At 36.1% G+C, this 26,546-nt stretch overlaps 1 protein-coding gene across 8 annotated transcripts in view; it reads right to left on the bottom strand.

Annotated features, from left to right (window-relative positions):
• DCAF8L2 (DDB1 and CUL4 associated factor 8 like 2) overlaps positions 1-26,546 on the bottom strand; it is a 281,002-nt gene that overhangs the window by 89,345 nt on the left and 165,111 nt on the right. The window lies entirely within an intron of this gene.

The raw sequence follows: 26,546 nt of genomic DNA, 5'->3' as shown, positions 1-26,546 counted from the left end.
CATCCCCAGAAAAATCACTCCACAGCCTCCACAGGAAAACCACACCTTGAGCCACTGAGGAATTCACAGTAACCAATGTTAATTACAACTGAAGAAATCATACAGAGACTACACTACTTCAGGCACTAGAACCCAGAGCCAAAGCACCCTACCCAACTGAAGCTACAGACAAATCTACAAAAAAAAACACAAAAACCTCCTTCTCTATAAGCTACTCAATAAAATTAGAAGAAGCAACTGTTAAACCAGATACACAGATAGCAACATAGGGATAAGCTGGGCATGGTGGCTCACACCTGTAATCTCAGCACTTTGGGAGACCGAGACAGGTGGATCACCTGAGGTCAGGAGTTCATGACCAGTCTGGCCAACATGGTGAAACCACATTTCTACTAAAAATACAAAAAGTTAGCCGGGCGTGATGGTGGGTGCCTGTAATCCCAGCTACTTGGGAGGCTGAGGCAGGAGAATCACTTGAACCCAGGAGGCGGAGGTTGCAGTGAGCTGAGATCGCGCCGTTGCACTTCAGCCTGAGCAACAAGAGCGAAACTCTGTATCAAAACAAACAAACAAATAACATAGGGACACAAGAAACATAAAAAAGTAAGGAAACATGCCAACTCCAAAGAAGGACAATAATTCTCCAGCAACAGATCTTAAAGAAAAGGAAATATATTAAATGACTGAAAAGAAATCCAACGTTATGATTTTTTAAAACTCAGTGAGATACAAGAGAACACAGAGAGATAATACAAAGAAATCAGAAAAACAATTCATGATCTAAATGAGAAATTCAACAAAGAGATAGATACTAAAAAGAACCAAATAGAAATCTTGAAACTGAAGAATTCAGTGAATGAAATTTAAAAAAAAATGGAGAATTTTAACAACAGACTAGATCAAGCAGTAAATGTTCTGACCTTGAAGAAAGGTTTTTTGAAATAACCCAGTTAGACAAAATAGGAAAAAAAAATGAAGAGAGCTCACGTGACATATAGGATATAATTAAGTGAAAAAACAGAGGGTCTTTCCCCACCAAATATCACATTTCAAAGGGTTGTGATTGGCAGCAAGACATAAGCGAGTTTCCCTCTCTCATATATGTGAAAATCCATTCTATAGGAGGATGGAGATAGGAGGTAATATGTGCATGTACATGAACATGTGTGTGAATTCTCCTGACAAGATGTAGGTAAAAGCATAGTTTTTGTCTCAGATAATGACCCCTACCCCTAGCTCAGCAAGTTGATTTGTAACTGAGCTTTAGAGTTAGAGGGGCTTTAGGCTAAAAGACAAGGATCATCCTTTGATTTGCACATTGAATACATGAGTTTCATGTAATTGAGGTCTTCAGCTAAAGCAGTGCCCTTTAGGTACTCTGAGAAGCTCCAACATCAGGAACAGGAGGTAACAACATAGGGTTCAGTATTAGCACAGCCATGTGGGAGAAAGTTCATTCTCTTGCACTGTTGCAGGCCATAAGCATTAGTGAAAGGATTTCAGGTGGAGAAATGGAAGAGGGCCTCTCAGGGGTACATTTGAGACTCCCACTGGGGGTATTCAAACATATATCAGAGAGATCTAGGGGAAAGGAGTTGGAAGTTCAGCCTCAGCAGGTGGGGGCGAGAATTATTAAAAACTGTGTTAATAATAGGATTACATTTTAATCCATCAGTTAATGACGGTTGAGGAAACGGTTAGAATTAAATGTTTTCATTTCTTTTTCTAAATACTTTTGTAATATAGGTAGATTTTATCCCCATTTTTACAGGTAAAAACCAAATAAAACTGGCCTCTGTAGCATAAAATAACTTGACCAAGGTCATTCTGACTGTTACAAACCCAGTGCTGTTGTGCTGTTTGAATACAGTGGTGTAAAAGCTCATAATACTGCATTCCTTAAAAATAATTATTGAGCATTTATTACATATGATGCTCTTTCCTCAACAGAACAAACACACTCAGCCATGCTCTCAGTTTCCTAGCATCCCGTTTGCATTCAGGTTTGCATTTAGCAAGATTCTGAAATGCTTTTGGTGTGAGATAGGGGAAGTGGACCAAGTGTGAGATTCAATACAATTTTTAATCTTAAAAAACATAACAGTGTCTATCTAAGAAAAGGCTTATACATTTTTTCAGATAAGCTACAAATAGACATTCATTTTGAAATTTTAGTATTTCAATTTCTATGGCTACTAATCTTACCCCCAAATTAAACATGTCTGTTCTCTGTGTATGGCTTAACCCTGGGGAAGAAACTTGTGACATGGAGATTAAATTGATATCAGTACCTATCATATTTAATTTTGCCCTGTTGTTTTCATGTGTAGTATAGAATATTATGCTCTTTTAACAATTTGTGCTATTTACTAAGGCACACTTTAAACAATGAGGAACAATATGAAAATAATTTAAAATTAGCACTAATCCTGTGGTACACACTTACTTTTCGGATTCAAGTAAACCTCTTCAGGTTTCTGAAAACAAATGTTTCAGAAAAAAGAAAATATGCAAAACTATGAAGCCAACACAAACATACACATATTCTAAGACCACATTGCTGTGATTGCCAAGAAGGCAACAAAAAATGCACGGATTAGGGGTCTGCTTATATTTCTACTGCCACTGGAACAATTAACTTTGTTCATTAAAGTTCTCTGTCATTATTACAGCTATTTGTGGCTTTTGATTAATGGTATTTGATGTTACAAAACTACATCCGGGGGTATATATATTTAATAAAATAGAATCAGTTATAATTTTTATATGTAATGTTTGTTGTCAAAGAAGAGGGTCTTCCTTGTTCCGAGGAATAATTATTGATCACAAAAGAACTATAAATGGAAATTTAATTCATTAATTGGCCTATGGTTCTTCCCTGCTGAGGACATTATCCTTATTCTGTCTCATGTATAAATGAATTTTAAGGATGAGATGGCTTAGAAATGAATAGTATTATTTCAGCAGAACTTTTGTTATGCTCTATCCTTACTCATTATCATTATGACTGAAAATTATATCCCATATCTTTATAATCTCTTTACTAAATATAGAAGTATTCTTTTAAACCAGGTAGACTAGAGTATTTGAGAAAAATTGCATAGTACTTAAAATCTCTTTAGGTGTCAATCATTGTTTTATCCCTTGCTGGTAGGGTGATACTAGACAAGTTACTTAACCTCTCTGTGCCTCAATTTCTTGATTGTAAAATAATGATAACAATAATACATGGGGATGCTCCAAAGATCAAATGAAATGATGACTGTAACACGCTAACAAAGGAGCATAGGCCATAGTGTGGATAGTAGTTTACGTTATTGGTTTCAATTTTTCACCCCTCCTTTCGGCGTGTATATGCGTTAGGGTTCTCTAGAGGGACAAAACTAATAGGATATATTGGTTTATTAAGTTAATAAAGGGGAGGTTATTAAGTATTAACTCACATGATCATATGGTCCCACAATAGGCTCTCTGCAAGCTGAGGAGCAAGGAGAGCCAGTCTGAGTCCCAAAACTGAAGAACTCTCTCTTTTCACATTTTTCTGTCTGCTTGTATTCTACCCAGGCAAGTAGTTGATTAGATGGTGCCCACCCAAATTAAGGGTGGGTCTGCCTTTCCCAGCCCACTGACTCAAATGTTAGTCTCCTTTGGCAACACCCTCACAGACACACCCAGGGTCAATACTTTGTATCCTTCAATCCAATCAAGTTGGCACTCAGTATTAACCATCACATCATGTAACTTTTCAGTTCCTCCCACTAAAGGGATAATGTATATCTTCCTTCCCCTTGGCTTTGACCCATAGAATAAACAGAAAGTTAGTGTTCTGGATCTTAGCCTAAGCCTTGAAGTTTCGTATGTTTCACTTACACATTTATGCCTCTGCTAATCCTAAGAAAAGAATATTATTTTGTTAATACAGCTAATGGAAAAGAGTTACTCCAGCCAACCCATTACCTGCAGTGAGAAATAGGGCCACCCTAGCTCCCACAGACTGAAAAAGAAATAAATTGAACCTACCTCCAGATTAGGCAGCACCCATGAAGCCCAAAACACATGAATAATAATAGTTTATTGTTTTAAGCCACATGGAGGTAGTTTTTTTATGCAGCAAAAATTGACAGATACAGTATACAATCAATTAGATTAGCTATTGTTGTGGTTATCATTTACTATTGTTTGAAAGGGAAGCCCAATAAAAACAAATAAAGCAAAGCAGTATGATCATTAGTAAGGTACAGAACTCTGTTTTCTAAACATGAGGTTTTTAAAGAAATAATGTTTTATCTACTCTCGTTTGTTTTCGGATACCGCTGTTGGCAGACAGCACCTTCTTCAGGAAAAGGAAATGTAAATGCTTGGGAGAGTTTTGTCCAATCTGCTACTTCTCCAAGGAAAATAGAATCCTATAATAAACAATCTTGTGATCACAGATGTATAAATGTAATGGCGATGCTACAAATACATCACACATGCAAACTTCAAATACATATCTCCCTCCTACATATTCTTCCACAAATATTCTGCTGCATCTCTCAGAAGGAATTGCAAGCATTTCATCTGGAAGCCTCAGTGTGTAGCTCTCCCCAGTGAAACCAAGGCAAAAAAACCCATTAGAGCTGTAACAAAGGGTAGGGTCAGGAGACAGAGGTTTTTTATAAAAAATTAAAGGGCAAAGGGAGAAGAAAAATGAAGGCAGAGGTACTTAACTATTTGAACTCACAAATTTGAAGTTTTAAAAGCATATAAAAATAGATGCCCTTCAGCTGAATGCGGTGCCCAACTTGGGTTTCTCCTTCTAGGGTGGGTACTGCTTAAGTATTTAGTTAGCATGTAAGCTGGAATAGTTAGTGAGTTTTGGTATCAACGACTACATGATAAAACTGGCTTAAAATACAGATAAAATATTTACTATAATCCTGAGCCATTGTGACTAAATTCTCCAAGAAATGTGGAACAATCTTATCATAAGAGATAAAATAATAATAATAATAGTTTAACAATCAGTCCACCTTTAAGTTGAATTGTGTATTCCAGAGGAAATTGCAGTTTGTTTCTATATATTGCTTTGCCCTTCAGCTCAGCTGTTGGCCCTGCATTAATATTCAGGCAGCATCAGTGCCAGTCTTGGTGATTCACTGAGGTATTATGAATATGCAAATGAGCAAGAGCTTTTTATGTCGATGGTTTGTCTTTCTTACATGTTTGAAGAAATAATTGGAACCAATCAGCTACTGATAACTTGCATATAGATGACTATTGCTTTGGAAGCTAAAACCATTTAATAATTTGTCTTATTCCAGCCCAAAGGTTTGATTTTAATCAATCTCTTGAAACAGTACTCCTAGTATCTCTTAAACTGACTGAGAGGTTAAAGTGTCATATTATTTTAACTTTCTGGATTATAGTGACAGTATTTTGGAGTGAGCACTGTACAAAGAGTTTAATATGCATACTTTTTTACTTGTACTTTTAATTTTTCCCTACATCTTTATCTATTTTCCTTGAGTATTTAAAAACCAGAGGAGTTTGTGGAGTATACTAGGTAGATGAACTCTAGAGCTTCCGAAATGTGGAGATAGAATAGATAGATAGGAGAGAGAAAAAATAGTATGTAGGCTGGACCTTATCTACCTGCCTAGTTTCTCGTATTCATCAATAATTAATGCTTGATTTTAAAATCACATTAATGTTACGTTAATGACATATATTAATAAGAAAAAATAAACGTTAACAAGATGTATAATTCATTTTAGATAGAAAAATAATAACATTTATGAAGAAAAATCAAAGTATAAGTAAATGAACTAGGTGAATTTTAATATAAATCTTGTTAACATATTATATCTTGATAGAGATTTGTCATGCAGTTTAACAATTTTAAATTTTTTTCTGTAGCAGTGTGACACACTGAAAAAAGTCACAATACAATATAGAATATTTCTATTATTGTGCCCTGCAAGTGACTAAAACATTTGTGATTATTTTCTTTTGATGTTCTAGCACTGTCTTGTTTCCACGAAGAAATAACCTTCTAGTTGCCACAGCTTGTTGATTGTCTATAGAGAACTTATTTATGACTGTGTGAAACAACCTGCATTCTGCTAACATGTAGTCATTTTCATTTAATGAAGAAATTATTTCAGATATAGGAAATACTTTTGAAAATAAGATTATATAGTTATTTGATTCCTCTCTATCTATAAAAATGAGTTACATGTTTTATATTAAAAGGCAAATACCAGGTAGTTCATGTTAGGTTATGTTCTGGTTTTTGTTGTTGTTTCTGCTGTTTTTTGTTTTTTAATCTCTGTTTGAAACAACAAAGGTTTAATTATTGCACATGCTACGTGTATCACAGGTTGGTAGAGGAGCTCTATTCATTATAATGTTGAGGGCCCTAGGCTGACAGAGGTTCCCAATTGGCACATACTCCCCTACTTAATCATGCCAGAGAGGAGCAGCTCTGGAGGTTCTTGAACCAGCAATTCAATGCCCAAACCCTAAAGTGACACATATCATTTCTGACTACAATTAATTGATTGAAATGGTCACATGGTCACACCAAGCTTTAAGGGATGGAGAAGAAAATATATTCCCAAGTGCCTGGAAGGAGAGGGGAAACGGAATATTTATGCACGTTAATAATTTCAGTCCCATGACACTGCATTTGTATATTTGTCCCATAATTTGCAATGTCCAAGTCATTTGGACATTGACCAAATGATTTGCTAATGTCATATTTCTAATTAAAGGAAGAAAAAACATAATCCTCTCAGGAATATTCACTAACTGGCAGAAAATGAGACATTAAAATCTTCCTGGAAATATATGTTGTGTGTGTGTGTGTGTGTGTGTGTGTGTGTGTGTGTATACATATCTGTGTGTTATCACTGCATGCCCCATGATTGACTAAAAGTTCTATATATGTATATATTATTTATTTGGAGCTGGATTGAGTTGAGGCTAGATATACGTGTACTCAGTAGGATAGTTTATTAAAAGAGGACCTTAAAATTTAATGAAAATATAAAGTATTGGAGAAAAACATATTTTCCAGAACCGCTTTTTAGAAGAATGTTAAATACAATTACAGGGCTTATTTTGTTTTAGGAAGCTACTTGGGGGGTGACTACTGTAATGAATTTTTAAAAAATAACCATAGGTGATCACTACATAATTTACTAAGAATGTGGAACCAATGAACTAGATCTAGCTGCTATCAGCCAGTGGGGCATGGTAATTTAGAGCCAGGGATTTTTGACAAGCAGATTTGCCTTTCTTCTGACCTATGCCCACATAACAGTCAACTTGCCCTACAAATAAAAACTGAACAAATATTAAAAGAGTAGTGGTTTGTATCAGTCAAATTGTTCATCCTGTGGCTGAGGTATTATATTGCCCATTAATCTCCAGAATATGACTTTGCTGATTTGACTCTCTAAATAGCAACTACCTCCTTCCTCACCATTCCACGCAGTGCATCCCATCAAATATCATACAGCTGGTCTCAGACAAAAGAACAACATTGTTAAGTCAATTATACTGTGAATTAATGCATTAGGTCTATATAAGAAAATATAGCTACATAAAAAGAAAAATGCAGTGAATATAAATGGTCTTACTCTCTAGCCATTTATCCCTCTCTTATTTTCCATTTTATAGGGACTGAATTCCTAGTAATCATAATTAAACATTTTTATGATGGTTGTAATTTGCCTAAAAAATAATTCAGTATAGATAGTTTGTGTATTTTAACCAGGAATTCCCATTCCAGGGACAGTCACATATCACTTTTTCATTGAGGATACCCTCCTCCACTCCAGAGGCAATGATCACAAACACATTAGCTCTCTTTGTCTTTGGTCATATCCAGAGGTTTTAGCAATTACCATATTTCATATCAGAAGTGGGTTTTCATTGATTGAATTAGTGGCTACCTTATTAATTAGCATGACATGTTAGTAATGGTTTTTCTTTGGTAAAATTAAAAGCTTTCATCTTGTATGAATTGTCTAAATTAGTGTAAAGACACTCCTCAATCTCATATAAACAGGACATAAAAATCCGGCAAAGTTAGCAGCTTCTACCCTTAGAGTTTGTGCCAAAGATTTGGTCTGTAAACTTCTCTGTATCAGGTCTCTGCTTTAGAGGATTTTTGTTGCTTGATGCTGTTAAGAGTAACTGAGTCCTACTTCTGGGACGCTGTTCGGTGTTTAGTCAATCTTTCTTGTAAGCTGAGAGGGTCAAAGCTCCTGAAATAACAGACAGCTGGGACTTCATCAAGCTTATAGAACAAGCTGTATGAACCATGTTTTCCTCTTTGCTAATAAACACCTCTATGATAATAAAGCTTGTTCTAGGACTTGACTTCATACAAACCTGGTTGCAATGTTTGAGGGAAGTAGCTAGCTTTTATTCATATAGAAGATTCAGTTGGCTACTGTTATTTGTTAAAAGTAAATGAACAAAATGAAACTCCTAAGAATTCTGCATGTTCAATTTTTCTTAGGTTCATGCCCAGCATACTTAAATATAAATTAATATTAATATTAATATCAATATTAATTAATAGTATCTCCATATTTACTACTTGACATAGAGTAGTAAAAGTTGACTTCACTTATTAGAGTGGTCTTTAAAAAATATGTTGTTGTAGTAGTTTACATTGACTAAATAACTCCAATGGCTAATCATTATCTTCATCTCAGAACATGAGCTTCCATGAAAAAAAGGAAATGAGCAAGTTATACTAGAAGATCGTATTAATATAGATCATAAGATTATCTGCCAGGCGTGGTGGCTCACGCCTGTAATCCCAGCATTTTGGGAGGCGGAGGCGGGTGGATCATGAAGTCAGGAGATTGAGACCATCTTGGCTAACACGGTGAAACCCCGTCTCTACTAAAAATACAAAAAATTAGCTGGGTGTGGTGGTAGGCTCCTTTAGTCCCAAGCTACTCTGGAGGCTGAGGCAGGAGAATGGTGAGAACCTGGGAGGTGCAGCTTGCAGTGAGCCGAGATCGTGCCACTGCACTCCAGCCTGGGCGACAGAGCAAGACTCCGTCTCAAAAAAAAAAAAAAAAAAAAAAGGTTATCTACTTTTTCATTTTTATTATTTAAAACAAATGTATCATCTGAAAGATCATTTTACATGCAAGAAGCCATTGAATTAGGGTTTTAATGAAGGACATACACATAAAAATGAATAAAGTTTGTAAAAATAATGAAAAATCACAAATTCTTAGATACCTGTATAAAATAAGGACCACTTCCATAACTCATTCTATGAAGCCAACATCACCCTGATACCAAAACCTGGAGAAGACACAGTGAAAAAGGAAAACTACAGGCCAATAGCCCTGATGAACATAGAAACAAAAATTCTCAGTGAAATACTAGGAAAATTAATCCAGCAACACATCAAAAGGTTAATTCACCATGATGAAGTAGGCTTCATTTCTGATATGCAAGTTTGGTTCGACATATGCAAATTAGTAAATGTAATTTACCACATACACAGGATTAAAAACAAAAATCATATGATCATCTCAATAGATGTGGTAAAAGCTTTTGATAAACTCCAACATCCCTTCACAATAAACACCATCAATAAATTAGGCACTGAAGGAACATACCTCAAAATAATATGAGTCATTTATGTCAAACCCACAGCCAACATCATACTGCATGGGAAAAACTGGAAGCATCCCCCTTGAGAACTGGAATAAGACAAGGATGCCCACTTCTCACCACTCATATTCAACATAATACTGGAAATCCTTGACAGAACAATCAGTCAAGAGAAATAAATAAAAGGCATCAAGATAGAAAAAGAAGAAGTTAAACTATATCTCTTCATGGAAAATATGATTCTATACCTGGAAAATAGTAAAGACTTCACCAAAAGGTGCTTGGAACTGACAAACAAGTAAAATTTCAGGATACAAAATGAATGCATGAAAATCAGTAGCACTTCTATACATCAATAACATTCAAGCTGAAAGCTAAATCAATAATGCAACCAATTTACGATAGATGCAAAAGATAAAATAAAATACCTAGCAATACATCTAACCAAGGAGGTAAAGGATCTCTACAAGGAGAACTGCAAAACACTGCTAAAATTAGTCATAGATGACACAGTCAAATGGAAAAACATTCCATGCTCATGAATTAGAAGAATCAATATCATTTAAATGGCCATAAGGCTCAAAGCAATTTACAGATTCAACATTGTTCCTATTAAACTGCCAACATCATTTTTCACAGAACTAGAATAAAAACTATTCTAAAATTCATATGGAACCCTAAAAGAGCCCTAATAGCCAAAACAATCCTAAGGAAAATGAACAGAGCTGGAGGCATCACATTATCTGACTTCAAACTATACTACAGAACAACAGTAATCAAAACAGCGTTGTCCTGGTACAAAAACAGACACATAGACCAATGGAACAGAATGGAGAACCCAGAAATAAAGCTGCACCCCTACAGCCATTCGATCTTCAACAAAGTGAGTAACAAGCCTATGAGGGAAGTGCTCTCTATTCCATAAATGGTGCTGAGATAGCTGGCATATGCAGAAGAATGAAACTGGACCCCTACCTTTTGCCATATGAAACAATTAACTCAAGATGGATTAAAGATTTAAATATAAGACCTCAAACTATAAGAATCCTGGAAGAAAAATTGAGAAGCACCATTCTATGCATCAGCCTTGGGAAAGAATATATGACTAAGTCCTCAAAAGCAATTGCAAACAAAAACAAAAATTGACAAATAGGACCTAATTTAACTAAGGAGCTTCTGCACAGCAAAATAAATTATCAACAGAGTAAACAGAAAACCTACGCAATGAGAGAAGATATTTACATACTGTGCATCTGACAAATGTCTAATATTAAGAATCCATTAGGAACTTAATATAACAAACAAAAACCAAACAACCCCATTAAAACATGGGCAAAGGACAGACGCTTCTCAAAAGAAAACATACATGTGGCCAACAAGCATATGAAAAAATGCTCAACACCACTAATCACCAGAGAAGTGCAAATCAAAACCATAGTAAGATATTATCTCACACCAGTCAGAATGGCTATTAGTAAAACGTCAAAAAACAACAGATTCTGGTGAGGCTGCAGAGAAAAGGAAACATTTACATACTGTTGATGGGAATGCAAATTAGTTCAGCCACTGTGGAAAGTAGTTTGGAGATTTCTCAAAGAACTTAAAACAGAACTACCATTTGACTCATCAATCTCATTACAGGGTATGTATCCAGAAGAAACTAAATCATTCCTCCAAAAAGACACATGCACTCGTATGTTCATTGCAGCACTATTCACAATAACAAAGACATGGAATCAACTTAGGTGCCCAACACTGGTGGATTGGATTGGATAAAGAAAATGTGGTACATATACACTATGGAACACTATGCAGCCACAAAAAAAGAATAAAATCATGCCCTTTGCAGCAACATGGATGCAGCTGGAGGCTGTAATCTTTAGCAAATTAACACAGGAACCAAAAACCAAATATCACATATTCTCACTTATAAGTGTCTGGGCTGGGGCCCAGACATCAGTATGTTTTAAACATTTCCGGGTGATGTTAATATTAATACACAGCTAGGTTCAAGAAACTTGGTTCCAATATGAGCCAATATACAGTACTAACCCACTTGCCAGCCAGTAAATATAACTTTCATTTTATCTTCTAGGACAAAGATGTATGAAATAATAAAATCATTTGATTTGAAAGTTCTGAACAATTCCATTTTACATAAATCCTACTTCGGCTTATTATACTAACAGTTGTGCTTTGTCCACCTTGTTCTACCTGTGTATCAGTAACTGCCTCGAACACCTGAGACTTGTAACATCAGTACTGTGTCCAATCAACTGAAAAAGACAGATTGTGAAAATTGTAAGAAAACTATATTCATTGTGCAATTCTAAATTCCTCTTTTAAAATGTTTGCATATTTTTGTTCATGATATACATTTCCTGATAACTGTATGCAATTCCAAAAAGTAAAGCAGATATATACATATATATATATATATAAATAATACATATATATATATGTTTGCTTAACTAGGAAATGTTACTACTGACCTTTGAAATCAGTTCTAAAATAAAAATCATGCCTCTATTCTCTTTTCTCCCTGCCTCTATTCTTTCACAGAGGTATCATAATCCTGAATTTAGTGCTTATAATAATATTTTTTCATTTTCTTTTTCCCATATTCACATATCCCTAAACAACATAGAATATTATTTTGTATATTTTTATGTTGTAATTCCCAAATGTGATAATAATGTTTGGAATGTTCTCATTTTTATTTCTTTAAACATCTTATACATACTTATTTTATAATCTTTATCTGCTAATTTCAATATCTAAGTTTCTTGGTCATTAAAAAGTATCCTTTTTTCCTCCCTCATTTTTGCTTATGGTACTTTTTTTCTTCTGCTGCTGTGTAACTTTGGATCCTGAACTTTAATTCAGGGAATCTTGATATGAAGTCAGCCTGTGAATTCTTTTTTGCCATTACCTTCTTCTAGAAAGGCAGTGTATTTACCTCTGTCATGTGGCCCAAGTTACAACCAATTCAGAATGTCTTCAAGTGAGTTTTGTGGTATAGAATTTTATGGACTATGTGGGTAGCAAAAAATAGGAACTCATATCATAAGCAAGGGCAGGAATGAAGTTATGAGATCTCATTGTTAACTTTAGAAAAAAATTCTTCCCTGAACCCAAGTCTAGAAAGACAATTTTCCTTGTCATTGGCCTCTGACAGGAGGTTTGTTTTTGTCCAATTCATCTTTTTTATAGAAAGTGTAGATTTTGCCTTTGTATGGGGTCTTTCCTGTTCCATCTTTGCCTGTTCCCTGTTCCACTCCTTTCTGAGAGCTAAGGACTTATCTCCTTCTCCATTCCCAGCTGTAAAGGTGCCAGTCTCTTGGATACTAAGAAAGAAAAAGAATTTTTCTAATTTTTTAATTTTTTATTATTTTATGTTTTTAGGTTCTGTGGTACATGTGGAGGATGTGCAGGTTTGTTACATAGGTAAATGTGTGCCATGGTGGTTTGCTGCACCTATCAACCCATCACCTAGGTATTAAGCCCAGCATGCATTAGTTCTTTTCTCTAATGCTCTCCCCACCTCCACTCTTCCCCGACAAGTGCCAGTGTGTGTTGTTCCCCACCCTGTGTCCATGTGTTCTCATTGTTCAGCTCCCACTTATAAGTGAGAACATGCGATGTTTGGTTTTCTGTTCCTGCGTTAGTTTGCTGAAGATAATGGCTTCCAGCTTCATCCATGTCCCTGCAAAGAACATGATTTCATTCCTTTTATGGCTGCATAGTACTCCATGGTGTATATGTAGCACATTTTCTTTATCCAGTCTTTCACTGATGGGCATTTAGGTTGATTCCATGTGTTTGCTATTGTGAATGCTGCTGCAATGAACATACATTTGCATGTATCTTTGTAATAGAAAGATTTATATTCCTTTGGGTATATAACCAGTAATAGAATTGCTGGGTAAAATGGTACTTCTGGTTCTAAGTCTTTGAAGAGTCACCACACTGTCTTCCACAATTGTTGAACTAATTTACATTCCCACCAATAGCATAAAAGCATTCCTATTTCTCCACAACCTCGCCAGCATTTGTTGTTTCTTGACTTTTTAATAATTGCCATTCTGAGTGGCATGAGATGGTATCTCATTGTGGTTTTGATTTGCATTTCTCTAATGATCAGTTATGTTGAGCTTTTTTTCATGTTTGTTGGCCGCATGTATGTCTTTTTTTTGAGAAGTAGCCTGTTCATATTCTTTTCCCACTTTTTAATGCGGTTGTTGGTTTTTTTCTTGTAAATATGCTTAAGTTCCTTATAGATCCTGGATATTAAACATTTTTCAGATGGATAGATTGCAAAAATTTTCTCCTATCTGTAAGTTGTCTGTTCACTCTGACGATACTTTCCTTTACTGTACAGAAGCTCTTTAATTAGGTCCCATTTGTCAATTTTTGCTTTTGTTGCAATTACTTTTGGTGATTTCATCATAAAATCTTTGCCCATGCCTATGTTTTGCATGGTATTGCCTAGATTTTCTTCTAGGGTTTTTATAATTTTGGGTTTTACATTTAAGTCTTTAATCCATCTTTAGTTAATTTTGGCATAAAGTGTAAAGAAGGCATCCAGTTTCAATTTTCTGCATATGTCTAGCCAGTTCTCCCAGCACTATTTATTGAATAGGGAATCATTCCCCCATTGCTTGTTTTTGTCAAGTTTGTCAAAGATCAGATAGTTGTAAGTGTGTGGGCTTATTTCTGGATTCTCTATTCTGTTCTATTGATCTATATGTCTGTTTTTGTACCAGTACCATCCTGATTTGGTTACTGTAGCTTTGTAATATAGTTTGAAGTTGGGTGGCATCATGCCTCCAGCTTTGTTCTTTTTGCTTAGGATTGTCATGGCTATATGAGCTCTTTTTTGGTTCCATATGAATTAAAACTTTTTTTTCTAATTCTGTGAAGAATATCAATGGTAGCTTAATGGGAATAGCATTGAGTCTATAAATTGCTTTGGGCAGTATGGTGATTTTCATGATATTGATTCTTCCTATGCATCAGCATGGAATGTTTTTCCATCTGCTTGTGTCCTCTCTGATTTCCCTGAGGGATGGTTTGTAGTTCGCCTTGAAGAGGTCCTTCACTTCCTTTGTTAGCTGCGTTCCTAGGTGTTTTATTCTCTTTGTGGCAATTGTGATGGGAGTTCATTGATGATTTGGCTCTCTGCTTGTCTGTTGTTGGTGTGTAGGAATGCTTGTGATTTCTGCACATTGATTTTGTATCCTGAGATTTTGCTGAAGTTGCCCATCAGCCTAAGAAGCTTTTGGGCTGAATCAGGGGTTTTGTAGATATAGGATCATGTCATCTGCAAACAAAGACAATTTGATTTCCTCTCTTCCTTTATTTGAATACCCTTTATTTATTTCTTTTGAGTGATTGCCTTGGCCAGAACTTCCAACACTATGTTGAATAAGAGTGGTGAGAGAGGGCATCTTTGTCTTGTGCCAGTTTTCAAGGGGAATGCTTCCAGCTTTTGTCCATTCAGTATATTGGCTGTGGGTTTGTTATAAATGGCTTTTATTATTTTGAGGTATGGTCCTTCAATACCTGGTGTATTGAGAGTTTTTATCATGAGGATGTTGGATTTTATTGAAGGCCTTTTCTGCGTCTATTGAGATAATCATGTGGTTTTTGTCTTTAGTTCTGTTTATGTGATGAATTATGTTTACTGATTTCCATATGTTGCACCAGCCTTGCATATTGGGAATAAAGCTGACTTGATAGTGGTGGATAAGGTTTTTGATGTGCTGCTGGATTCAGATCACCAATATTTTATTGAGGATTTTTCCATCAATGTTCATCAGAGATATTGGCCTGAAGTTTTCTTTTTCTGTTATATCTGTGCCAGGTTTTGGTATCAGGATGACACTGGCCTCATAAAATGAGTTAGGGGGCGGGTGCGGTAGCTCATGCCTGTAATCCCAGCACTTTAGGAGGCTGAGGCGGGCAGATCACGAGGTCAGGAGATCATGGCCATCCTGGCCAACATGGTGAAGCCCCATCTCTACTAAAAACAATACAAAAATTAGTTGGGCGTGGTGGCACGTGCATGTAATCTCAGCTACTTGGGAGGCTGAGGCAGGAGAATCGCTTGAACCTGGGAGGTGGAGGTTGCAGTGAGCCGAGATTGCGCCACTGCACTCCAGCCTGGCGACAGAGCAAGACTCCATCTCAAAAACAACAACAACAAAAAAGAGTTAGGGATGAGTCCCTCCTTTTCAATTGTTTGGACCAGTTCCTCTTTGTACCTCTGGTAGAATCAGCTGCCCTAAATAGCAGTACTTTCAGTTTTATTTTATCAGTTGGTTTCCAGCCTCCTCTTCATAGATCTATGGCTCCTGTGGCTTCCCCTTAGCTTCCTGAAAGCTGAGCTATGTAATTAAATACCTGTTGGTCATATTTATCCAGCATATCTCGGTGATTTGTAACAAGAGGTTTTTTCAGAGGAGTTAGCCTGATTTATCAATGTAAACAGATGTGACCTATATTACTGAGGGTCTTGATGATGAAGCTTCTGGTAATTAAGTGTATCATCCACCTTTTCATCTATTCATTCACTTGACATACAGTAATTGAATATCTCCTCTGTGTCTTTCCTGTGTACCCTGGGGATAAAGTGATCATTGAAAACTGTTGCTACTGTCAAGGAGCTTATATTCTAGTGAAAGAGACAAACAACAAATTAAACGTGTATGTGTGTATATGTGTATATGTGTGGTACACAAATGCATGCTATACACTATACACACATATACATGAACATACAATATTTTCAAGTAACTGTCAGTTCTCAGAAGAAAAGGAAATCAGGGTCATGGGTTAGAATGTGGCAGGTGATATTTTAGACATGGTAGTCTCCTCAGAGGAGGAGACATTGATCAGATAGAAAAATAGTGAGTGAGCTAAGTAGATGGAGATGGGTAAAATGAATGCTTCTGGCAGAAGCAATGTTAAGTGCAAAGACTTCATGATAGGGATTGGGACGTTTTTATGAGGTTCAAGAAAAACTCTGGAGAATATAGATCCTTTTATAGGAAATATAGTTTTGGAACACTATATTAGCATGTTAGTCACCAAGTAGGTAGAGATGTCCTGGTTATTTCACTCATAGTCCAATCAATTCTTCAGCCAAAAAAATCAAACACATATTAGGTATTGTATGAGAAATGAAAGCTAAACATCAGGAACACGATGTGTTCATAGTTTAATTGGGAAGAAGGCAAAGGATAACCGTGTGGAAAGTCACAACGTAATCTCAAGAGATACTTTAATTACTATTATCCTATAATTTTCAGGAAAATAACGTTGGACATTATGTTTTACTCTTTTGAATTTATTAATAATTTTAAGAGCTTTAAAATTGTAGCTATATTATATGTGTATGTAAGCATTAATTGGATGTATTTTTATCAAACTGCTGGAATTTACCAAAAATTACTGGGATTCTTTTATCTGTCTCTATTGGTTTCTGACCACTACGACATCAACACAGATTAACTTTTTTCTCAAAACAAGAGTACAAAAAAAGAATAGCTCTTTTACAACAAACATACATAGACATTTTGCAAAAGAAGACATACAAATGGCCAACAGGTATATAAGAAGGTGCTCACCTTCACTAATCATCAGGGAAATGCAAATCAAAGCTGCAATGGGTTATCACCTTACACATGTTAGGATAGCTATTATCAAAAAGTCAAAAGATAACAACTGTTGGCTAGGGTGTTGAGAGAAGGAAACCCTTGTGAATTGTTAGTGGAATGCAAATTGGTACAGCATTTGGGAAAACAGTGTGGAGATTCTTCAAAAAATTAAAAATCAAACTACCATATGATCCAGCAATCTCACTACTAGTTGTATGTCTGTAAGGAATAAAATGATTATCTTGAAGAGATATCGACACCATTCTGTTAAAATGTAACAGAAGCACAGTAAAGGTGTCTGCATATACATAGCAAAATATCATATTAAAAGGTAAAATGGTGAAGACATCTCTTGACTTAAAAACCAACAATATGGTAGAGTTAATAAATGATGGCATGGTTTTAGTAACGCTATGATGCTTGTCATATCACCTGCAACGTCCAAGTTGTACATCACTATTATTGAGAATATATGTTCTTTTCAAAATGATTACATGGTTCTGATAGTGTATCAATTATATTTGGAAAATAACTGAAAGCTTATTCTGCATATCTTATTATTAAAAATAAAAAGTTATACTAATTTTAGGGGATATAAATGTACATTTTACCAAAGGGTGAGGAAACCTGGGGAAAGCCCAGCAGTGTCCTTGAGTTGAAGAGATAGACATGGAAATATGGGAAGATGAAGGTATCTGGCGTTTTGATGGGAGAGTAGAAAAGAGAGAATTGCAGTGAAAGAAAGCTCTGAGGATCTGCAGAGTCCCATCTCCCTGAGTCTTCATCTGTGTTCTTATCAGAACATACATGTGAGAAAGCTGCCTGAAGCCTAGGAAAGAATTATCTGAAAGAAGCAAGTGGAAAAATCTCCAGGGCTCAATCGGAGCCAGAAAAAAAAAATTGCTGTTTTCACAAGCCAGATTAGAAATACACTATAATACATGAGATATAGGGTGCACTTGTCAGAAGGATGTTGACTCAGTTGAGAGGCAAAATTAGATCTAGACTAAAGGCTTATGTGGTCCTGCATAAGAAAGTCAAAAACAAGTTTAAAAGGATCAAACCTCGGAGGAAAAACTGGAGAAAACTTTGTTAAGATGTACCCTTATCAGGCCAGGCACGGTGGCTCACGCTTGTTATCCCAACACTTTGGGAGGCCGAGGTGGGCGGATCACGAGGTCAGGAGATTGAGACCATCCTGGCTAACATGGTGAAACCCCTTCTCTACTAAAAAAAAAATACAAAAAATTATCCCGGCATGGTGGCAGGCACCTGTAGTCCCAGCTACTCTGGAGGCTGAGGCAGGAGAATGGCGTGAATCCGGGAGGCAGAGCTTGCAGTGAGCCGAGATTGTCCTACTGCACTCCAGCACGGGCGACAGAGCGAGACTCCATCTCAAAAAAAAAATTTAAAAAAAGTACCCTTATCAAACTGCTTGAAACTAGTGATAAAGAGAAAAATTTAAAAGTGGCCAGAGGAAGGGCAAACACACGTTATGCAGAGTAAAACAAAGATAGAAATACAGCATACTTGGCCGGGCGTGGTGGCTCACGCCTGTAGTCCCAGCGCTTTGGGAGGCCGAGGTGGGTGGATCACCTGAGGTCAGGAGTTTGAGACCAGCCTGGCCAACATGGTGAAACCCCGTCTCTACTAAAAATACAAAAGTTAGCTGGGCATGTTGGCACACACCTGGAATCCCAGCTATTCGGGAGGCTGAGGCAGGAAAACTGCTTGAACCCAGGAGGTGGAGGTTGCAGTGAGCTGAGATCAACCATTGCACTCCAGCCTGGGCTACAAGAGCAAAATTCCATCTCAAAAAAAAAAAAAAAAGAAAAGTAAAGAAAAGGAAAGAAAAGAAAAGAAAAGAAATATAGCAGGCTTTATGTTGGGAACAGTTCAAATAAGAAGACAGTGGAGCAATATCTTTAAATTACTGAAAAAAATAGCTATCAGACTTAGTTTATAATCAGCAAAAATTTCAAAAATAAAAGTGAAATAAAAGCTTATTTCAATATACAAGAAGTGAAAGAATTCATCACCAGTAGATGTGCAATTTTAAATGAAATCCTTTAGGTAGAAGGAAATGTTAACAGATAAAAATCTGCATCTACACAAAGGAGTGAAGAAACCAGAAATGGTAAGTATGTGAGTAAATATAAAATGATGTTTCCTTATATTCTGAAGTACTTTAAAAGATAATCAAATCTTCAAATAAAAATAATAAAAAGATTGTGTTATCTATAACAGCTATGGAAATAAACTATATGACAATAGCACAAAGGCAGGGAAAATGGAAATAAATTGTACTATTTTCAAGCCCTTCTATAAATGAAGTAATATAATATTAATTGAAGGCAGACTGTTATAAGTCATCTCTACTAGAAACCCTAAAGTAAAATTTCACCAAACAAGATGTACATAAATGTATATGAACATCATTAGTCATTAGAGAAATTCAAATTAAAATGATAATAAAATACTCCTACACTTTTTATTTTTTCTTGTAAAATACCACTACATATTAAAAAGGCTAAAATAAAAACAAATTAACTGAAAATATGAAGGGCAGACAAAGATTTAGAGTAACTGGATCTCTCATACATTGCCGTGAAAATGTGAAATGATAGAACCAATTTGGAAAATACTTTAGTAGTTTTTTATGAAGTTAAACATACACTTGCCACATGACCCAGAAATCCCACTATTAGGATTTACCTAAGTGAAATGATGATATTCTTGAATATTTATAGCAGCTGTATTCATAAGTGCCAAAATTGGGAAATGATGACAATATCCTTCAACTGATGAATGGCTAAACTAGTGTAGTATATCCATACAGTGAAATGCTGCTCAGCAATACAAATGAATAAAATACTTATTTATACACATAAACATGGATAAATGCAAATGTATGTTAGTAAGTGAAAGAAGCCAGACTCCCAAATCTACACACTGTATGGATTCATTTATATAACACTCTGGAAGAGGTAAAAGTACAGTGACAGAAAATTGATGCGTGGTTGCCAAGTGCTGGGGATGGGAGAGGTAATGAATCAAAAAAACTTTAATAACAACAAGTGTTCTCATTGTTCAATTCCTACCTATGTGTGAGAACATGCAGTGTTTGGTTTTTTGTCCTTGCGATAGTTTGCTGAGAATGATGGTTTCCAGCTTCATCCATGTCCCTACAAAGGACATGAACTCATTGGTGGGAGGAGGGGGGAGGGATAGCATTAGGAGATATACCTAATGTAAATGACCAGTTAATGGGTGCAGCACACCAACATGACACGTGTACATATGTAACAAACCTGCACGTTGTGCATATGTACCCTAGAACTTGAAGTCTAATAAAAAATAAAATTAAATAAATAAAATTTTAAAAAGTGATAAATAGTACAACGCCTGAAACATCTGAAAAAATCAGTTGATACAGTGTTCAATGAAAGCCAGATGTAAAATAATATGTATTACGATTAAAAATGAGAAAAGTTCTATGAAAAATGCCAGTACAGTTGACATCCAAGTGGCAGCTATAACAGAGCCTGTGGATGTTACTTTTCTCTTACTTTTAGGCTTAGAGTTAATTTCATAATTTAAAAAATGTAAATTGAAAAAAAATTAATAAAAACAAGAAAACAAGCCCAAGAGTCCCAATTTTGAACCCACACTTGCTTGATACCAAAGCTACTATGTAACCTGTAATTATATATATAGTTGTAGATACTTAGTAGGTGTATATATTTATGGAGTACATGAGATATTTTGGTACAGGTATGCAGTGATGCAATGTGAAATAAGCACATCATGGAGAATGGGGTATTCATTCCCTCAAGCATTTCTCCTTTGAGTTACAAACAATCCAATTACACCCATTAAGTGTTTTAAAATGTACAATTAAGTTATTATTAACTATAGTCGCCCTGTTGTGCTATCAAATAGGTCTCATTCATTCTTTCTACTTTTTGGACCCATTAACAATCCCTACCTCCCTACCAGCCCCTCACTACTCTTCCCAGCCTCTGGTAATCATCCTTCTACTCTCTATGTCCATGAGTTCAGTTGTTTTGATGTTTACATCCCACAAATAAGTGACAACATGCAATGTTTGTCTTTCTGTGCCTGGCTTATTTCACTTAACATGATCTTCAGTTCCATCCATGTTGTTGAAATGACTGGATGTCATTATTTTTATGGCTGAATAGTACCCCATTGTACATATGTAATTAACAGAGATCCCGTGATGATATAAGTTCAAGACTAATTAAGGAGAGGGAAGTATGAGAGTAATTATTTGGGTAACTCATATTCTAACAACAGAGTTTTTGTTTTACTTACTTGGTTCTCCTATAGTGCTACTCAGACCACCATTAGCAGCACCTGGGAACTTGTTAAAGTTGTGCATTCTCAGGCTCCATCCCCAGATCTATTGAATCAGAAACTCTTTGGGTGGGGGTGGATTCAATAATCTGTGTTTTAGCGAGTCCTCCAGATGATTCTGATGTGCACTAAAGTTTGAGACCTACAGATCTACATTAATGCATTAGTCCTCATTATTTAAAACAATAAATGCAAATGATTGGGCTGTTCTTGACTGTTCATCTGTAAAGCCACTTGTGAATTGAAAACTGAAACCTCTCATTTCTCCCTGCCCCTCCACAATACATTGTTTATACCTTTATTAAACACACATTTCCTCCACCTTGTATTATATTTCATTCCTGACATGTCTATAACCTTCACTAAAACACCAGCTCCATGGGGCATGGATTCTCATATTTCAAGATTTATAAAGCTCATAGCCAGCATAATCTGAGTAAGGGCAAATCCAGCTGGCCATGAAGGTTAAAATAATTGGGAAGTGTCGGTTTCCAAGGTACATAAAGTTCCAGGCTTGATTCAAGTAAATCAATTACATTTAGTAGCCATCATCTTTCCACAATCACCAAAATGAGTGTGGGAGTGTGGCAGCAATGAAAATGTTGCTCTCAGATCTTCTGCTGTGGGGAGCATAACTGATCAATGACTCCAGCTGTTGAGATCTGAGTCCATTACCATACTTTTCACAGGCTCTTCCTAGCCAATGATGGTATGTACCAGAGTACTAAAGCAGGGATATTCCAGCAAGATACAAGACTTCTCTAGTGAGCAACTTTGGCTCAAGGATTTCTCATCAGCCTTGCTAATACTTTCCTTAAATTACCATACAATCTAAGACTTTTCCTACCTAACCTTCCTTCCTTCCATCTCTCCTTCATGGTGTTGAAATTGTATTGTGGTCTGATAGCTCCCTCCTCCTTTCCTTCATATCCATTTTTTTCCCAATAAATCTTGCTTTGTTTAATCCTGTCTTAGTGTCTACTTCTCTGAGAATGTGAGCTAACTTTGAGAGGATCGTGTCTGGTTTGAATTCCATTAATAGTTGTGCTTCCCTAAGCAATTGTATTGTTTTTAATGTATGGGGAATATTACCTGGAGAAACGACTACTTCCTCTTTGCAGGTTGGCTGCTAGAAAGTTGAGAACAAAAGTATGACTCTGTGTTATGAGCCAGTTATTGCTTTTCATTAAATTTTGAGCCCCCTTTTATTCATAAATGATTTTATTTCATTTTTAATTTAATTTTACAGATTTTTGTAAGCTGCATTAAATAATTTCTGAATGAAGCCCGAGTAAAGATAATCCAATCAATACTCAAATTTGAAGAAGCTGCCATGTTCATCCAGTTTTATGGGCTATGTACTCCATGGCTTGAGCTGGATGCTCAAATCGAATGATGCCATCTGAAGTTGTGTGCTGGTCCTGGTTGGCACATGCCCAAAGGTGGAAAGAACATCCTAATGGAAAACCCACATAGTGACATGTGGAAATTCAGTCAAGCAGACAATCTGATTGGGTAAGAGCATATATTTGGGTAGTGGTCACCATACTAGAAAATTAAAAGTTAGAAACCCACTTCTCAAAGTTAAGCTAGTGTGATCTGGAGATCCCTGAAATAGGGATGCCACAATGGAGAAAATTTCAGAAGCCCTGAGTACTGGTGGTAGGAACTCCATAGGACATAACAGATAAACCTGAAACAAACTGGCTTAAACCAAAATGTTAATTTAATAAGCCATGTAATCAGATTGTTCAGGAGGAGACAGGCTTTAGATTAAGCTCTGCATATGACTCAAACAATGTTATTGGGACTTTGAGAATGTACAGATGTCATTTTTTGCTGCTCAGAAAGTGAAATGGCTTTCTAATTTCGGAGAACCTTTAAACTGAGATTCTCAGTAGGTGATAGTGCATCTCCCAATGACAGGTGCTTAAAGGTAAAATCTGTCCTCTTCTCGTCTCCTAGTGGCCAGAGCATGGAAATCAATACTCAGATATTATCATCAAGGATTCTCTTTTTTAGCCTAGTGACCTAAAGGAAAATGATTTTATGATTTGCTTTTCTGCATCTAGCTATGGTGCCTGTGTGTCATGGAGGAGATTGTGGACAGTGGCAGCAGATACATTTGTAAATAAGATTTTTTTTCTGCAACATTACTCAACTCTTTAGTTCCTTCTCATTTCCTGGGCCTGATTCTCTGGTTCTCCCCTCAACTCTTTGAGCTACTAGTAATATTCTTCCAGTAAAATTCTTCTCTATTTAATTTTCCAGAATTAAATAGAGATGTGTTCAGGTTTGAGATGCATTCAGACCACCTGATATACCTGGCTCTCTATATCTAGTTTTCAGTCTCTTTTCCTCAATATTAGAACCAATGCAACAGCCATTACATCCTGGGGATACACACTTCCTTGTTCAGGTTTAGCACAAAACATGTCTGATTTTCTAGGGAGTTACATAAATGAATGAATAAACACAGTTTTTAATTCTTTATATCTTTGGATCAATTTGAAGTAATGTACTGATAGCTCAATGTTAGCAATTGATTTAAAATGCAATTGTAGTAGATTTTAGCTTATAATGAAATGGGTTTAATAATAAATTGTTATTATAAAATAAATGCTTTAGAACTCAGAGGAATATGTTGATTCTAAACATGAAGATTGGACCATGAACACAGATAAAATGTAAGGTCCAGGTGCCTAAAGGAATTTATTTCAGCACTAGGCTTTTCATGCAACATAGCTCTTAAGAAAATAAAATATGTCAAACACTATGAGCTTTTATTGACATTAATAGAAATTTCTGGCCGGGCACGGTGGCTCACACCTGTAATCCCAGCACTTTCGGAGGCCACGGTTGGCGGGCAGATCATCTGAGGTCAGGACTTCAAGACCAGCCTGGCTAACATGGTGAAACCCTGTCTCTACTAAAAATACAAAAAATTAGCTGGGCGTGGTGGCAGGCGCCTGTAATCCCAGCTACTTGGGAGGCTGAGGCAGGAGAATCGCTTGAACCCGGGAGGCGGAGGTTGCAGCGAGCCAAGATGGCGCCAGTGCACTCCAGCCTGGGTAACAAGAGCAAAACTCCATCACACACACACACACACACACACACACACACACACACACACACACGTAAAAGGAAATTGCTTTCATACGTTAGGTGTTGACTATTGCCCAAAAATATTAAAATAATACTACTTCAAAAAAAGTGTCACTTTCAATTTGAATTATTGATAATTGAAGCATTTTCTTTTTCTTGTAAGTGTTAAACCTGGAAGTAGAATGGCTAGTGGGAGCAAATGTTGAATTGGCCGGAAGAAAGCTGTTTGCCATATTCTTGAATACTTTTATGGCAATGAAAAGAATTACTTGACTCTTTTGTGTCTGGGCCTCCTCAAATCTTAATAGCATTTTATTTAGTAAGGTTGGTTTTGAGGAAAACATTAAATTGAGTACAGTGAATGCTACTGCTCCTGGGACTGATGCATGATTACTATCAACACAGCTATATTTAGGTATGATACTTTAAAATCATCATGAAATTCCTTGGGCGGGTATTAAGAACTACTCATTATAAATGTTGATAGTTTCATTGAGAAGATATTTCAGCTTAGTCACTCACTCCAAATAATATTTATTTTGCCCTATTGACTATTAAACACTGTACTAGGTCCAGCAGTTGACTAAGTAAAAGTATCTCCACTCAGTCAACTCATGGTATGGTCACAAGGTAAAAATAATTAAAAATCAATGTTAAACAGCAATGATAAAAATTATGTAATAACTCAGCTTAAGGGACTAGAGTGATAATAAAAATAACAATGTCAATATATCTATTACACTACGCATAAGAGCTAACATTTACTGCATGCTTACCATGAAACAGGTACTATTCTAAGAGCTCTCTCTCTCTTTCTCTCTCTCTCTCTATATATGTGTGTGTGTGTGTGTGTGTGTGTGTATATACATGGTTTGTGTATCCCTTATCTGAAATGCTTGAGACCAGAAGTGTTTCAAATTTCAGATTTTTGGAATATTTAGGTATACATGATGAGATATCTTGGGGATGGGACCGTATTCCAAACATAAAATTCATTTATGTTTAATATACACTTTATACACATAGCCTGAAGGTAATTTTATGCAATATTTTGAAATAATTTCGTGCATGAAACAAAGTTTTCATTGCATTTTCACTGTGATCCATCACCTGAGGTCAGGTGTAGAATTTTCCACTTGTGATGTCATGTTAGCACTCAAAAGGTTTCGGATTTTGAAACATTTCAGGTTTCAGATTTTTGGATTGAGGGTGCTCAGTGTCTATCAGTTTATTTAATTATCACAACAATCCTATGAAGATGTTCCTATTTTCTTTACAGTTAGGAAACCAAGGCACCGAGAGGTTAAGTAACTTTCCTGAGGTTATGCAACTAGTAAGAGGCAAAATAAACCAACTCCAACAACCTCGTTTCAGAGTCTGAGCCCATAACCACAAGGCTATATTGCCACTCTGAGGCATCAGAGATGCCTTTGCAAAGGAGGTAACATATGAACTGAATCTGGAAGGATATTTAGGATTGAACCAGGCAGATGCAGGTGAAAGACATTTCAGGGAGAGAGAGTAGCATGCATATGGGTAAATAGAACAGGTTATATCCAGACTACTTACAAGTAATTTATTATGTCTGTAGCCCAAGTAACGTTTGAAGAAACCAGAGGTGGGGAGACAAGTTAGGACGTTATAACTCTAATCCAGTTAAGAGATAATGAAGGACCAGACTATGTTAGTGCTAGCATATAATATGTGGAATGGAACACATATTATGTGCTAAATTCTGTAGAAAATACAAAACTGAATGGGACATAA

The sequence above is a fragment of the Homo sapiens genome, chromosome X, assembly GCF_000001405.40.
Source record: "Homo sapiens chromosome X, GRCh38.p14 Primary Assembly".
NCBI lineage: Eukaryota > Metazoa > Chordata > Mammalia > Primates > Hominidae > Homo > Homo sapiens.
Note: the sequence above shows the minus strand (reverse complement) of the source record. Positions and strands in the feature narration are given on the sequence as shown.